General features: G+C 51.2%; 1 protein-coding gene and 2 long non-coding RNA genes across 3 annotated transcripts in view, besides 7 other annotated features; 2 read left to right on the top strand and 1 right to left on the bottom strand.

The window, feature by feature from the left end:
- RASSF4 (Ras association domain family member 4) overlaps positions 1-11,904 on the bottom strand; it is a 36,090-nt gene extending 24,186 nt beyond the window's left edge. The window contains exons 1-2 of the mRNA NM_032023.4: positions 11,840-11,904; positions 1,442-1,541 (exon numbers count right to left, since the gene is read on the bottom strand). Of these exons, the coding sequence (NP_114412.2) occupies positions 1,442-1,503 (62 nt within the window). The 5' untranslated portion in view covers positions 1,504-1,541; positions 11,840-11,904. The remainder of the gene's footprint in view (positions 1-1,441; positions 1,542-11,839) is intronic.
- LOC105378281 (uncharacterized) lies at positions 31-4,607 on the top strand. The gene is made up of 2 exons (XR_945915.4): positions 31-1,571; positions 1,861-4,607. It is a non-coding gene; the product is annotated as an uncharacterized LOC105378281 (long non-coding RNA).
- Positions 5,131-5,425: an enhancer, noted in NCBI's record as "tiled region #2327; HepG2 Activating DNase matched - State 5:Enh, and K562 Activating non-DNase unmatched - State 3:PromF". NCBI's record gives its function as "activates a minimal TATA promoter and a strong SV40 promoter by Sharpr-MPRA in HepG2 cells, with weaker activation in K562 cells {active_cell/tissue: HepG2 | K562}" and the evidence as "EXISTENCE:reporter gene assay evidence [ECO:0000049][PMID:27701403]".
- Positions 5,436-5,705: an enhancer, noted in NCBI's record as "active region_3318". NCBI's record gives its function as "activates an Ori minimal core promoter by ATAC-STARR-seq in GM12878 lymphoblastoid cells {active_cell/tissue: GM12878}" and the evidence as "EXISTENCE:reporter gene assay evidence [ECO:0000049][PMID:35858748]".
- Positions 7,077-7,176: an enhancer, noted in NCBI's record as "active region_3317". NCBI's record gives its function as "activates an Ori minimal core promoter by ATAC-STARR-seq in GM12878 lymphoblastoid cells {active_cell/tissue: GM12878}" and the evidence as "EXISTENCE:reporter gene assay evidence [ECO:0000049][PMID:35858748]".
- Positions 7,297-7,356: an enhancer, noted in NCBI's record as "active region_3316". NCBI's record gives its function as "activates an Ori minimal core promoter by ATAC-STARR-seq in GM12878 lymphoblastoid cells {active_cell/tissue: GM12878}" and the evidence as "EXISTENCE:reporter gene assay evidence [ECO:0000049][PMID:35858748]".
- Positions 7,367-7,446: an enhancer, noted in NCBI's record as "active region_3315". NCBI's record gives its function as "activates an Ori minimal core promoter by ATAC-STARR-seq in GM12878 lymphoblastoid cells {active_cell/tissue: GM12878}" and the evidence as "EXISTENCE:reporter gene assay evidence [ECO:0000049][PMID:35858748]".
- Positions 11,931-12,225: an enhancer, noted in NCBI's record as "tiled region #11970; K562 Activating DNase matched - State 4:PromP". NCBI's record gives its function as "activates a minimal TATA promoter and a strong SV40 promoter by Sharpr-MPRA in K562 cells {active_cell/tissue: K562}" and the evidence as "EXISTENCE:reporter gene assay evidence [ECO:0000049][PMID:27701403]".
- Positions 11,934-12,153: a silencer, noted in NCBI's record as "silent region_2341". NCBI's record gives its function as "represses an Ori minimal core promoter by ATAC-STARR-seq in GM12878 lymphoblastoid cells {active_cell/tissue: GM12878}" and the evidence as "EXISTENCE:reporter gene assay evidence [ECO:0000049][PMID:35858748]".
- The window catches only part of TMEM72-AS1 (TMEM72 antisense RNA 1), a 148,666-nt gene continuing 144,863 nt past the window's right edge, over positions 12,017-15,819 (top strand). Inside the window, exon 1 of the long non-coding RNA NR_033842.1 lies at positions 12,017-12,114. This is a non-coding gene — a long non-coding RNA (TMEM72 antisense RNA 1). The remainder of the gene's footprint in view (positions 12,115-15,819) is intronic.

Genomic DNA, 15,819 nt, shown 5'->3' with positions numbered 1-15,819 from the left:
CCCTGGCCTCTGTTTCCTCATTTGTAACAGGAGTGTGACAGCACCCTTCTCGCCGGCCAGGCATAACCAGAGGAGACCAGACTGCCATCGCAATGCACCCGGATGGTTCTGCACATGGCCCTGGTGGGGGGCATGGGGGTCGGGCTGAGGAGGAGGCGAGACTCACGGGACAGGCCTGCGTCTGGTCCAGGATGTCCAGGGTGCCGACACTTTCACTATCACAGGTAAGGCCCTGGCAGCCTCCCTGCCCTCCACCTGCGTTGCTTCCTCACAGTAAATGCCCTGGACTTGCTTTTGGCATTGTACAGCCTCTTGCTTTTCCCCATATCACTTCCTACAAGGCCTGCTGTGGCTGCTGCGGGCCACCCTGAGGGGTGCCTGCTTCTTCCCCACCCTGACTTTCCAAAGGCGCAGTGGAAGGTGATGGCCCTGTGAGTAAGGCCCTGAAGTCTGCAGTAAGCCACTTTCCCTCAACGCTGTCTCCCTTCCCGAAGGGAAAGCCACAGCCCTGGCTAATGTTGGAGGAAGGGGAGGCCTGGACAGCTGCCTGAACCCAAGCTGGGCTCTGTGGGGCTGTGGGGCCAGCAGACGTGGGATGTGAGCCACACTGGTAATTTCAATCTTCTAGTACATGTTAGGAGGTGATATGGTTTGGATGTGTGTCCCCACCCAAATCTCATGTGGAATTGTAATTCCCAGTGTTGGAGGTGGGGCCAGGTGGGAGGTGTTTGGATCATGGGAGCAGATCCCTCATGAGTGGCTTGGGCCATCCCCGTGGTGATAAGTGAGCTTTTGCTCTGAGTTCACACGAGGTCTGGTCATTTAAAAGTGTGTGGCACCACCCTCCACTCCCTCTCTCTTGCTCCTGCTTTCGCCATGTGAAGTGCCTGCTCCCCGTTCGCCTTCCAACATGACTGGAGGCTCCTTGAGGCCTCCCTGGAAGCCGAGCAGATGCCAGCACCACACTTCTTGTAAAGCCTCCAGAACCGTGAGCCAACTAAATCTCTTTTCTTTGTAAATTACCCAGCTTCAGGTATTTCTTTATAGCAACACAAGAATGGCCTAATACAGAGGGGAAAATGAAACAGGTGAAATTAGCATTAATAACACATTTTATTGAACTCAATATATCTAAATTACTATTTGTCAACATGCAATCAATGTAAAAGTTATAATGAGGCCCTGTACACACCTATTTCGTATAAAGTGCCTGCCATCTGGAGCCTCTTTTCTATTGCCCATGCCTCCCAGCCATGGTCATGTGTAGCTTGGGGATCCCCTATTGGACAGGCTCAAAAAGAAGCACCCCATCACTGTCCCCCAGGGCACCCCATCAGATCTCTGAACAAGTGCTCAGAACCCCTCCACCTAAAGGCTGCCCAGGATGAGGGGGATGGCAAATGTGAAGACTCCCCCGCCCAACCTGCACACCAAGGCTTACTTCTGAATGGACTTGCTGTCACTGATGGGCACGTGAGAACTCGGCAGACAGTCTTCCTTCATCTTCTCTTCCTCTTGTCTGCAGACCTAGAAGTTACTTGCTGGGAAGACAAGGAAGGGTGGACAGACAGGTGAGCCAGAGGAGTGCCGGCCAGTGCAGCACCCAACACCCGCAGCCCTGGCACAGACACCGTCGGCCTTGGCATCACACCGCCTTGGCACAAGGTGGCTGCGGCTGAAAGGGTCTGGCCCAGACCCACATGGCCACATGTCAGTCAAGCTGCCTTGGTTGGGCAAGGTCATGCTGAGCCAGTGACACTGGTCCTTTCAGCCGCCCACCCCAGAAGACTCTCCATAATCCCCAGGAATCCAGATCCATCTCCTAAGCATTTTAGATCACATGCTCCCTTCCCTTGGCAGGGACAGCCTGACTACTGGCTTCTGCCTCGGTTGCTCCTGCAATCCTCCAGAGCTACCCTGGGCCTCTCTCCTGCCTTCCCGCTCAGCCAGGCAGTGGCCCATCACTGGCTGTCCTGGCAGTGGGTTAGTCGGCACTGTGTTCCCTATGTGCTGTAAATGGTTGGCATCTTCTCTGAGTTATCTCCTCCAGTCCCTACAACGATATTGTGAGGTGAGTATCACCATATTCCCATTTTACAGATGAGAAGACAGGGACAAGAGCTTAAGCACTTTGCCCAAGATTACCAGCAAGTAAGCAGAAAAGCCACTGTTCCAGCACAAGCATTTGGACCCCTGATTCTGGTCTCTTAGTACCTTCTCTATATTGATCACGGGCAGTGACTTAAACTCCCAAACCTTCCTTTCCTCGTCTGTGCAACAAGGTAATCTCAAGCCCACAGGATCATTAGTGGATCCACACACACGCGGTTCACACACACTGTTCCACACACATACTATTCCCTCTTTCCACACACAGCCTTGATTGGTTTGAGGAGCCGCTCCTGCCCTCCCCAGGTTTCTTTCACGGACAGTAAATCCACCAGAGCTTTCTCGAACCTGTTGGCATCTGCACAGCTTCCTGTTCCTCTCTCTCCCCCATGTCAATGTGGCCAAGGACTCTTATCAAGGCCTCCTACATGCTAGGCAGGGAGGTAAAGCTTCACACACACATACATACACACACACACACACACACAAAAACACACGCATACACAATCACATGCACACACACATACATTCACACTCAACACACACACTCACACTTAACACATACACACATGCTCACATGCACACACACACACACATACACAAACACTCACAATCTCACAGACACACACTCACACACACACATACTCCAGTGCTGACCTTGCCTCCACCTTCCATCTCCCAAGTTGCAGCTCAGGGCTAGGGGTGTTAGGACACATTGGGAGGGGGCACAGCCTGGGGCCACACCACATCCTGCCCACGACAGAGCTCTGCTCATTCACAACTCCCCCACATCTGTTCACACAAACCCATCATGTCTTCCCGACCTGAGTGTGTGCAAATGCCACGGGGGGCGGGGGGCTCAAGCTCAGCTCCACCTGCTGTCGTATTTATTAATGTCCTCAGAGCCCATCCCTGCAGAATGCCCAGCTCCTCAGGCACTCACTTGGACCAGTCCAGTTTGCTCTCTCCCCCCTTGCTTGACACCCACAAATGTGACAAACCTGCCCTCTGTGCTAGCATCAGCCCTGCATGAGCCTGTGATGCAAGAGGCAGGGAAATACAGTTGGCCTGGAGAAGGGGAAGGATTTGAGGGAGTGGGCTTCCTGATGACCTCAGGATCATCCTATCCATACCTCCCCTCTGCCTTGCTCCAGAGTTAGGCACCTCAGGGCCTGGAGAGATGTCAGGCCCCCAGCAGCAAGGCCTGGAGCTGGGGACTTATTGCTGCATTTTTCTTGGCCAGGCAACAGGGATTTCAACATAAAGTTTCAGTTCCTCGGCACCTCCGCTTGCCCATGGAAAAAGTGATCTGCCCCCCTCTCTGGGTAGTTCCTCATATACTTGCAAGGCAGAAGCCTAGTGCAGCCCAGGGTGAGCCATGGAACTGGGTTTCTTAGCCCACACTGCTTCTGTGGGTCTTCAGCATAACGAAGTCTTGCTTTCAGCAAACTCATTACAGGAAGGGCTGGATTTACCCCAAAATTACAGGCAGTGTTTTTTTCTCTTGCCTTCCTCTGTATCCAGCTTCCACCCCAACTTCCTGCTCTAAGCCCTGGGCTCACTGAGCAAGTTCACGGCTCCCCTAAGGAGCCCTATGCTTTTTTTCCCTTAGGGCTTTTGTAGTGCTGTTCTCTGTTCAGAACCCAGAACTACTCCTGTCTTCTGATGTTAGCTCCTCCTGGAAACCCTTGCCAGAAAAGCCCCAGTCCATGTTGGGGCAGCCCCTCTCTGCCCCATCGTCTCTTCCCATTTCCCCACTGGGCCCTGCAGAACCCAGCTCTTGTTTAGACTTCCCTCCCAAGAGAACGGGAACATGGTGGGGGTGAGGGCGGGGGGTGCTTTACCACTAGTTTCCAGCCCCAAGCATAAGCCTGGCACATCGCAGGAAGTCCATACATGGTTGTTAAATTGCTGAATAAATACAAGAAGCTTCTAGACTCCCTCCAAGTCTACTCTTCCAAAGCTGTGCACATACAGCAGGAATAAATAATATAAAAGTCTCCAATGGCCACGGAGGTGACTCCGCTGAGGGACATTCGTCACGGGGTCCATGGGGAATGGGGGGCACATTCCTTCTTCGACGGGGCAACTCTTTTGGCGTTTCATAAGAAGCCAGGAATCTGGATTTTTCTGGGCTATATTTCACTACTGAAAGGTGGCTGGCTGGCAGAGGCATGCACTGTCCCTGGAATGCCCGTGTGGTCGCTCACCACCCCGGCCCTCTGCAGCTAGCTGGGGCTGTGGGCCTCATTCTGACCACTGAGCTGCGAACAAAAGTGTTGTGGGTCCCTTCCAGGCCAGCAGCTTTAAGAGCCAGTGCACAACCCTCCAGTTCTCCTGTCTCCACCGTGGTGACCCAGAAAGCCATGTGTTTCAAGCCATGTGCAGCTACTCGATGGTCAGCCTGGGTCCCTGAGTGACTGTGGACCAGAACTGTCTGCCAACCCACACTGGATATGGACTGAGAGGGAGAAATAAACCTCTGCCGTGACAAGCCACTGGTGTATCAGGGATTTGTTACTGCAGCATAACCCAGACCAAGTCTCATGCAATACATAATCCAATCAAAACAACAAATATTTAATGTAATATTTTGTATTTAAATATGTTTATAAATAAACTAAACATCTTTGCAAGACAGATACACCTAGTGGTGAGACAGGAATAATACAGATGGTCACAGGAGAATAGAAAATTCTAGGCAGCCATTTCACATGACCAGCAAAAGGAAACTGTTAAAATAAGGGTCATAAGAAGCTAGGGGTCATAAGACTCTAAAAAAATCAGAGTGTGGGCCAAGCTGGCTAAGACCAACTGAAACCAACGTGGTGCTGGATTCGACCTAGGTTTCTTCTAGGACCTCACTATACGCTCATTAACCAGGCAACTCTCTGAGATGCTAAATTACACACCCACAGGCACCATGACAGTTCCAGAACACCCATATTTCATGTAAAAATGGGTGGCACCACAGTTTCAAGAAAGTTCCACCTTTTTCCAGGAATCTTCTTGGATATTGCACCCCTTGGTTAAAGAAACCCATAAAGGAAGCAGCTCCCAACCCCCTTGCACACTCTCCCTTCTTGAGTGTGTACTTTCACTATTTTCTGACTCATATGGGAAGGAATTCAAGGAGTCAAGAGCCTGGACATCAGCTGGGGTCGAAGTCCCACCAGTGTTTGGGGACCTCTCCTAGTCCACTGGACAGTGAGGCTCCAGTTTGTGACTTCTGATTCACGACACGGCATGATTTACATTTACTTCCGGTCTCCTATAGTGTGTGGGGAAGAAGTTCATTTTGCCATATGTAGTAGGAACACTTAGAAGTGGAATTTCCCATAAGTCAGGCAGTGGTTACTTATTCATAGAAAATGCTTCCTAAAGAGCTCTGGGGTGCTTCGTTGCATGCCTTCTCCTCTCTGGGCCTTAATTTTCCCATCTGTACAACAAGAATATTGACCTCCAATGGGTTTGAAATTTTCTTAACTGTGGAACTCTTTGTTCAAATAGAAAATGTATGCAAAACAGATTAAAGGGGATTGCCGTGGTTGACAGTGAGGTGGTGGTGGCAGAGAGCCTCATCTTCTAGAGCTCTGGGTAATACTACTTGAAAAGCATGGTTCTCCCTCACTGGCCTTCAGGAGTGCTTTTCCCCTGCACGCCTGCTTATTTATAGGACACAACCAACGTGTTGAGTGTCTCCGGCCATGACTGAATGGCACCAGCTGGGGGCACCTGCTCAGAGGAGACAGACCAGGAGGAAAGTAAAGGAGAGTCCTAGGCTGCAGATGGCAAAGTGAAGGGATAAAGGGCAAGGTGGGCTTGTAGGGTAAACAGCTGGGGCAGAGAACGGGGCACACCATCCCAGGGGAGGGCAGGGGGGTCAGCGAGCAAAGCTAAGGGAGGTGGCTCAGGGCCCACTGCAGCAAAAGGAGGTTTTTCCAGCTTGCTGGGCTGGGTCCTGAGCCTTACAGGGTGGGAACCTTGGCTCCACACAAAGAGAGTCTCTCCTTTGAGAGAGGCACACATTTCTGTGTCCTCCAGCACTCATTAGCTTCATGGCCCTAAGCAAGGGAAGGAGATGAAAATATTTTATCCCCAACATATATTTCTTTGACGTATTCTTAAATGGCTGCCACTTGCCCATCCTGAAAGAAGTGGCTAGCAGAGTGTCTTCAGTGGGAAAATTTGCATCTGTAGAGAATCTCCATTAATGCAGCCAGGCCCCCTCCCCTTTCCAGATCTTTCCCCACATCCAGGAGAGACTGAGAATCCACACCTTTAAAAGTCTCTTTGAGGGAGGCTTCATCTACATAACAAGGTCACTTTCACTAGCCAAGCCTCTCCTCCTTCCATAGCCTGTTTCACCAGAATCTAAGCCCCATTCTTTCTGTAACCTCAAAATGGTATATAAGTCTCTGTTACTCACTGGGAAGCTGGACCATCATTCTGAAGGCTCCCATGCATGCACCTTAAGTACATGTGTATGACTTTTCTCCTATTAATCAATCTGCCTCATGTCTGTGATTTTTAGTGAAACTTTAAGGGGCCAAGAGCCTATGGCTCCCACAAAAGTCACTTGGTCTCTCTGGTTCTCAGAGCCAACACCGCAAGAAGACCTGTTTTTCCTGAGCTCCAGGATCACTCACAGAATTCCACTGCAGATCTCAACACTGTGCTTGCGCCCTATCCCCTTTACCAGACTTTCATTCATTTTGATGAATTTAATCGTTTTGACATCACATCTACAGGAAACTGCATGAGTACCTAAGGGGTGTCTGAAAGACAGCTGTGGCAGCAGCAAACTGCAAGGGGGAACACGCACACCCAACAGGAGAGGAAAGGGAGCCATCTCTCTATTTGGAGCATTTTCCTGGAACAGCCTTTTGCATTGAATCTCCAAGTGCACTGGGTGGGGCCTTTGAGAATCTCTGCTGGAGTATTTTTCAGTCTTTTATAAACAGCACAACCTTATCTTGAAATTAGATCCTAGGTAGAAGCCCAATACACAAATGGATTAAAGCGAGGCTGCATGGGTGGCAGCAGGAGTCAGGAGAGGATGGGCTGGGGCTGGCCTGCCACCCAGGCTCAGGCTCAAAAAACCACAGAGTGACAGATGCAGCTGGACAGGCCAAGTCGGCCAGCAGGCTCTCCCCTCCTCCAAGCCGTGCCATTCTGCTGGGAAAGTACAGCTTTCTTTGTCTGGGCCCGTTCCCCTCCCCCAGGTCCCAGGACATAGCTCAGGCCTCCACGCCTGTTTCCCAGGCTGGAGGACACTCTGTCCCCAACCAGAGTGATCAGCTGCAGCCAGGGCTGTCTGTACCCCAGAGGAGGCCCCCTAGGCGGCATGCCAGCCATGGCTACCTGTCCCAGTGAACAAGCAGTGAGTTGTTCTCCCTTTCCACTTCAGCAGCTGCTCTGCCAGCCGTGCAGAGAGAGACAGTCTGCTGTCACTACTGAGGGACAAAGGCCGCCGAGGGCTTTAGAGCTGCTAGGCATGGGCCGTCTTTCCTTTTTTGTGTTTGTGGGGAAAGTTATTACAGAAGAAGGTGACTGTGATTCTTTCAGTCACCCCCGGGGCCCAATTCCTACAGGCCAGTGGCAAAAGGAACAGAAGATGCCGAGTGAAGTGAGGCTTTCGTGACACGAAATTGAGTCCACTTGAAAGCCTTTTATTTTAAGACTGTGCTGCCTGCTTTTCCTTCTGACAGTGTCCCTTCTTACATAAAACATGGCCAACACAGATGTGGTGTCCTCACTTGGCAAAAGGGAAAACGTACAGGCATCCAAATTAAAATGTTCTAAGCATATCTGTGAAGTCTGAGAGCTTGGTTACCTCTGTTTTCACATTTCCTGAAATTGTGATTTTTATTTTCTTATTTCAGCGTGATTTAAATCAAATAGGTCATAACGAAAGTGACCTGGGAAGCAAAAGAAAGGAGGACAAGTGTGTGGGGCACAGCTGGGAGCCTGAGCTGCTCCCGCTGGTGGAGGACAGCAAGTGCAGGCCACAGAGCAGGTGCAGGCCACGCTGACGGCATTCCTGGGGGGACTAAGTTCCTGACTGCAGTCTGTGGCTACCACATTCGAATTGCCAGCCACAACGGCAGCAGGGCACAGAGGACAATGAAGCTTTAAAAGGCCCCTCCCAGCACCTGTTCGCCAGCAAATGGCAGGAGCCTGGCCAGTGAAGAAGTTGCAGCGTCTGCCGAAACCAGGTGCCTCTGAGGGGGTACCCTCAGCCAAGCATTTTTGTGGTGAGAGCCGGCTGTCTGGTTGTAGATGGCAGGCGGCGACTCAGCAGCTGCTGCTCCCACCTCCTTCCACACTGCTGTCCCCTCCTGCTGCCCAGTTCCAATCACCAGACCCCTCCTCTCCACTCCCGCCATCATCCCTCTGGCTCAACTCACTCCTCCCTGCCCCAGAAGACTCTGCACTGTCCAGGTGGAGGTGATGGAGACCAGGGGAGTCCAGGAGAGGCGGGCACAGAGCTCCCCTCCACCTCCACTCCCGCCTTGCCCTGGACTGACCACACAGGCCCAGCTCACCTTTACTCCCCGCTGCGGTTCTGGCCTCTCACTGACAGGTCTCTCTGAGTCCAGTCCAGCATCCAGGCCTCCCTGATACAGCTCCCCTTCCTCTGAGAGCCTGGCCCTGAGCAGCCATGTAGATCGCAGACCAGCCTTCCCAGTGGGCAAGACTTCTGGCTTCTGCCCTTGTTTCAAGGCAAAGCAATTTGGGACAAGAAAACCATTTCCAGTCCTCCTGCTCCCCCCTTACACCTTAAACATACATTCTCTGCTCCTGGAACCCCCTGAACCACTCCTCAACTTCCCCACCAACCAGGCTCACCTCTAGCCTATGGAAGAGAAGATCCACAGAAACAAAGATCTTCTTAGCTATGGTTTTCGGGCCAAACGTGCTCAAAATGGGCACTGTCCAATATCCCGATTGCCTGGGGCTGGGAGTGCAATGCAGAGGGGCAGACCCCTCTGGGTGCCTGCTGCTGCAGGGCTGCTCTGGAGGCTCTCTACGGCTGCCCTCACCTGTGCTGTCCACTGCCCCAGGCCTGTGTGCCACATGTCACTGCTGGGGACATAAGGGCCCTGTGAGACAAAAGGGTCCCAGAATCTTTTGGGTCATAGAGTCCTTTGGAGTCTCTTGAAAGCTTAGTGCACTCTCCCCAGAAAATGCATGTATGTGCATGTTGTTGCAATCTGCATCCACGTGCAAACACACACACAATTTGCATATCACTGCAGGGAGATGAGACAGCTCTTGTCCATGTACTCCCAGATCCCCAGATCTTAGGTTTAGAATCTCTGCTGAAACCTGTCACAGCAAGAAAGAGGAGGCAGAGGAACGTTGTAGAGCCTTGCATGTGAGTTTTGCTGTGGCATTAACTTGGCCTGTGATCCTAGCGTGTTGCGCCGTCTCTTGGGCATCAGTTTAGCCAGAGCTGTTGTGGCAGCTGATAGAGAGTCTTCAGGGCTCTTCCCAGCACTGCAGCTATGGGGCTCAATGACACCCCACCCCTGCTTCCCAAGGTCAGGCAGGGCAAAGGGAGGGGGTTCCGGGCCTCTTCCTCAACAGTATATCCTAGGGCAGAAGGTGGGACAGCCAGAAAAGGAGACCCCGGGAACTACAAGTTTCTCTTTTACAAAAATAAGAAAACTGTTGAAGCTTTAGGAAGTGCAGCCACTTCTTATTTGATTTTCTTTATTTTAAAACAATTTCCCCAAACATACTCTGTGAGAGAATAACCACCTAGCCTTTGCAAGGCTCTGGGTTTAAAGCTCTGCTCTGTGACTGCCTGGCTCTGTTACCTTAAGCAAGTCCAGTTCCCTCTCTGAACCTTGGGCTCCTCATCAATTAAATAACTATAATCCTCGATGACTTCTGTGAAGACGAATGAGGAGACCTGTAAGATGGGCCTTGTGTTGGGCTCACCCATAATGAAAAGAGGCTCCCATTACTATTCTTATTGACACTGGGAGTTGGGGGCTCTGGAGAGACTGTGGAGCCCCAGAGATGGGAATGTGAGGCCTGCCTGCAGGAGTGGCCATGAATGAGGAGAGAGTCTGAGCTGACACCTGAAACCAGGCCCCAGACCCCAGGGGCCCAGGGCAGAGGGCTTTCTGGCAGATCCCCTAGTTAGGTCTCCCCTTTGAGGCTTTGCACGTCCAGAATCTGAACTCTGACACACACCCAAGTTTCGTTCATGTTCTTTGTTATCTGTCATGGTCCACTTGGTCCTGACCCAGGGCGACCCTGGACCTTGATTCTGTTCTCGACCTCCAGGCTACCCACTGGAGCTTCATGGTGGAAATACAACCCAATCTCCTGAGTTTCAGACAGACACTTTAATCTGTAGCATCAACCTTTTTGTTGTCAAATCACCAGCACTACACACTGAGAGAATTATGGCTAGAACTAATGACAACAGCCTTCACATACACTGACAAAGTGCTGAAACAGCCCATGACAATTTCCGGCCAGCATTTTTTTAACCTAAGTTTAATGAGTTTCATCTCTCCTCTTCCCTCCCTTCCTCTTTCTCCTCTGACCCTCTCCCTTCCTGTCTTCTCCCCTAACCTGCTGTCCTGGCAGAAGTAGCTAAGGAACCACACAGAGGAACAGAAGGCAGGATGGTCTACATTTACCTGTTACTTCACCAATTCACTTCTAACTTAAAAAAAAATGGTTTCTGGCAACAAATCCTGATTGACACCTTAGTACTGTGGGCAGTTAAACTACAGCAAAGCCAGCGAGGGGCTCCTCTGTGAGTGCAAAGCATAGCTTTGGAGTCTAACCTGCTTGGGTTCAAATTCCAGAAGCCCAGCCCTTATTTGCTGTGCGACCTTATTTAATTCCTATGTGAAATGGGGCTCCTGAAGCTGTCCTTACTGTGTTTTAAGAAAGTGCTGGCCCTGGCCTGGGCACTGATTCTGGTGTGAGAGGAGGCCTCCCTCCCTCCGCCGTGCCAGGTTAATGAAAACACTGAGGCATGTTTTGGAAGTGGGAAGTGCAGGATGGGACCGGAGTCAGGAGCCCAGAAGAGCAGGGCAGCAGGCAGGCTGACCTTCGGAGACTAAGGGTGAAGAGCAAGAGACTCAGGGGCACAACAAGCCCTGGGTTCAAATCCTGGCTCCATCACCAACTCATCCGGTAAAGGTGGACAATTTTATAACTCTTTAAGCCTCAGTTTTCACATCTGAAAAGGGGATAACGAAAGTAGGACTCTCACTTGCTGTGAGGAGTAAGAGGCATATCGTGTTAAAGCACTTGGCCCAGAGCAAGGCGAGCCCTCTACAGACAGCGATTGTGAGACAGACCCCCCCTGCTGCTATTATCTTGGCGTTCGATTTCCATCAGTGAAATCAGAGTTGTGCCAGAGGCCTCTAGGCTCTCTCCCCAACTCTAGGATCAGTGCTTCTAGGAAACTGGTTAAGGACAAGGTGAACAAAAAAGGTGTAGCCAGTGGCCGGGCTCATCTGTCTTGCTCAGGTTGTAGCCCCTAAATTGCTTAACAGAGGTGCCAGGCGCAGTGCCCCCTCTCAGCAATGAGCCCGAGGCCCGCAATGCGCCAGGCTGGCGGGGGAGGGACCCTGCGCGCTGCGGCCGAAGGGCACAAGTGCCCAGGCTTCAGCGTCCCTGCCTGGTGGCAGTCCTGGGTCGGAGGGGATGCTCCATGGACGCCCAAGCACTCTCCTGCTCGTTCATCACTCACCGTCCAGTCATCGCGCAGTCCAGAAGCCACTGCATGTGTCGTGTCCTCGCTTGCACCGGAGCTGCGCCCGCAGCGCCTGCTGACCCCAGGCTTCAGCTGCTCGGGGCCAGGCCCGCCCCTCGCCCCGCCCCTCGCCCCTCGCCCCGCCCCGCTCCCCGCCTCTCGCCCGGCACGGCCAAAGGTGCCGCCCCGGTCTCTCCGTCCCGCCCCGAGCACGCCCCTCACTCCGCACCGGCCAATGGCACCGCCCCGTCCGCCCCGCTCTGGGAACGCCGGTAGGTTCCGGGTGCAGGGCGGTGGCCTAGGGGCGGCGGGGAAGATTTGGGGCCTGCGACCTGCCAGGTGTCCCCAGGCCATTGTTCAGCTCGCCGCGCGCTCCCGAGTTCCCGAGGGCGCCCCGGGACGCGAGGAGAAAGCAGCCCGACTCAGCCCCGAGAGGTTCGGTGTGCGGGCAGCGGCCAGGGACTTTGCGGGGTAGCGCGGACTCCTGGACTTCCAACAAGGGCCGCTGCGCAGGCGCTGCAATCACTGCAGGCACTTGTCTGCATGCCTGGTGGGGCTTGGAGTCTGGGGAGGCTTATCAGTAAAGCCCAGAGCATTTGCTATTTATTGCTCAAGGGGCACCTTTGTACAGTCTGGCCGTTTGCTTGGCATGGCCTCTTAGAACTCCTTATTGTTTAAGAAATCCGATCTGGTGAATAAGAAGTTAGTCTTTCTCTCCCAGTCACTGCCTCCTGGACGAATATTTGCCAGCACGGAGGCAGAGAGGACAGAAAACCACAAGCCATTTGGGGAACTGGGAACAGTTCAGTGTTTCTGGGGTGTGGGGGTGTCAAGGTGGGGGATGGGGTTGATGGAAAACATTTGCAATTTCTGCTTTACCTCACGATTCCCAGCTCTGACCTCTGGACCTGTTCTCTCCCACCCCTAACATAAATCATTTTAGTTTCATTCAGTGTGCGTTTCCTAATATTTTTAGGGTCTCATGGCCATTTTAGAATCTGATATGGATCTTCTAGAAAGTGCAGGTGGCCATATGCACCAAAATCAGCCTGGGATTTGAGTCTCATGGGTCCCTGAACTTCGACTTAGAGGGGCTGTGCTAATGCTTGTATGGCTGCTGTATGACTTATGTTGGAACCCCCACCTGCAAAAAGTGACAGGACTGAAGATACCCAGTCCAGGGGCCCTCCCGTTTCTGCGTTTGCTTGAATTTTTGGAGAATGGCCCATCCTTTGACAGCTCTGAGGCTCCCTGTGGTTGGTGACTTGTCATGACACATTTGCTCTTCCACAGCCCTCATCAAAGCTGAGACAAATAATCGGGTGCTTCCAAAGGTTTTTTAAAAGTGGGTAAAATTCAATATAACTGTCAACCTCTGAGCATGAGATCCTAAGAATTTAATCACTCCTGATAGGAGAAGTAAACATAGCACCAGGGTGACATAACAGTTTCCCTGGGCTCTCCAGAACTCGAGTGTGAATCATTCTCTCTGACCTAATTAATGCTGTTCACAGGGCCATGACTGGCTCTGAGTGAGGACTGGGTTTGGGACAGCAACCCCATGTGTCCTGTGCACCCATTGTGGGCTCAGACACTATGCTAGTGCTTTACATTGGGGATCCCATGCAATTCCCCCAGCACTCCTGGGCAGTTGGTGTTACTGCTTGCATTTTTTAAAATTTCCATTTTTATTTTAAATTTAGGGGATACACGTGCGGGTTTGTTACAATTGTACATTGTGTGGTACTGAGGTTTGGGATTGATCCTGTCACCCAGATGGTGAGCATAGTACCCAATAGGAAGTTTTTCACCCCTCGCCCCGCTGTCTCCCTCCCACTTTTGAAGTCCCCAGTGTCTATTGTTTTTATCTTTATGTCTAGGTGAACCCGATATTTAGCTCTTTTGCTTGTAAGCGAGAACATGTGGTGTTTGCTTTTCTATTTCTGCATTAGTTCGCTTAGGATAATGGCATCCAGCCACATCCATCCTGCTGCAAAGGACACGATTTTATTCTCTTTTATGGCTGTGAGTGCTTGCATTTTACATCAGACACAGGTGTCCATTGTCAGCGTCCTCCCCTCAGAAGGGGAGGGTCCATTGTCAGACCCCTCAGAAGGAGGGGTCACCTTTTCTTTCAGGGTTCAGTAGAACTGGGTGTGGTCTCCAGCTCACTTATGGTGGAGGCTACAGATACTGTTGGTTGCCAGCCAATGTCCATTTCCTTCTTTGGAAAAAAGAAAGATAGGAAAGAAGGAAAAGGACAAAAAGGAAGGAAGGAAGGAAGAAAGGGAAAGAGGGAGGGAGGAAGGAAGGAAGGACGGAAGGAAGGAAGGAAAGAAGGAAAGGAGGGAAGGAAGGAAGGAAAGGAGGGAAGGAAGGAGGGAGGGAGGAAAGAGGGAATGGGGAAGAGAGGAAAGAGAGAGGGAGGGAGGGAAGGAAAGGAGAGAGAAATACCCACTTGTCTGTAGCAGCAACATGCCAGCCCCTAGTTATGGCTCATGCCCACTTGTATTTTTCATACTCTACTTACAACCCAATAGTGGGTCATGAAATTAATTTAGTTGATGATGTGACTAGTACTTCAAAAATGCAAGGGAAAATACCAGTGTACAGCACAAATAGTAAATATAAGTTGTGTTTTGTGGAACTTTTTGTTTGCATTGTTTATGTTTCAGTTATGTGTGCTTCTTACTGTGGGTTACAGTTAAAAAAAACAAAACAGCTGTCTAAGTCTTGACAATCCTTTTCATAGCTTTTTTTCAGTGAAGCTAGAAGTGGCCATACGACCTACTTCTGGACGCAGAGATGGGGGAAGGTGTCCTGGGGGAGGAGAGATCTGAGGGATGGTGAAGATAACTTTTGCTTTTCTGGTAGAAAGAACAGATGTCTCTCCTGCCTGCCTGTCTCAAATGAGGACATGATGTGTAATGTCTGGAGCACTGGCAGCCATGTTGAGATCATAAAGCAACATGTCCGCATGCTGAGGCTGGCAGAGCATAAAGATCAAAGGTGTCTGGATCCTTCTTAACATCATGGAGCTTCTGCACCAACCCTGCACTGCCTACTCCAGACTCCCTACCATGGAGAAAAATTAGCCCCTATTTCTTCAAGGCAGAGGTTGGTAAACCTTTTCTGTACAGGGCTGGATAGTAAATATTTTAGGCTTTGTGGGCTAAATGGTCCGTGTCACAACTACTCACCACTACTGGGGTAGTTTGAAAGTAGCCATAGACAATATGTAAACCAAAGGACATGGTTGTGGTTCTCATAAAACTATTTTAAAAAATGGATGGCAGGGCTATAGTGTGCCAACCCCTTCCCTAGATGATCTTGTCCCCTAATTGTCTCTCTGACCTCATCTCCTCCTACTGCCTCTCCTTCTCCCTGCTCTGATCACACTGTTTCTCCCACACACCCAGCCTGTTCCTGTCAGGGTCATTCCTTCCCTTGGAGGGCTCTTTCCCCAGATGTCCACAGCGCTCCCTCCTTCCCCTGCTTCAGGTCTTTAATCACAAATCACCTCCTTTTTCAGGTCGTCCCTGGGCCCTCTGTAAAATGCCCGTCCCTGACCCACGCATACCACTCTGGCATGCTGTATATTCCAGTCTTTATCATGAGCTCCTAGAGGAAGAGACACTATGTTTCCTTAAAAACTGATTCTGTCTGGATTGTCACAGTGTTTAATCAATATCTGATGTATGATTGATTTTTTTTTTTTCTTTTTGCCAGATTCAGGTAAGAAAACAAACTCAGGGAGGCTGAGTTCCCCCTCCAAATGACATGTGCAGATAGTGGCAGAGTCCAGGTTTGTGCCTGATGGCCCAATGTGGTGGTGTCTGTACCACCCGGGAGTGAGGGAAAAACAACATCTACCTCTAATGGAACACACTGGGTCTCAGGGGAGCCAAGGCCACACAGAAGTTCCTGCAAGACTCCTTGCTCCAGGGCGCCGCCCCAGTAAAGGAGGCCTTTGGGAG

This window comes from Homo sapiens, chromosome 10 (genome assembly GCF_000001405.40).
Source record: "Homo sapiens chromosome 10, GRCh38.p14 Primary Assembly".
Taxonomy (NCBI): domain Eukaryota; kingdom Metazoa; phylum Chordata; class Mammalia; order Primates; family Hominidae; genus Homo; species Homo sapiens.
Note: the sequence above shows the minus strand (reverse complement) of the source record. Positions and strands in the feature narration are given on the sequence as shown.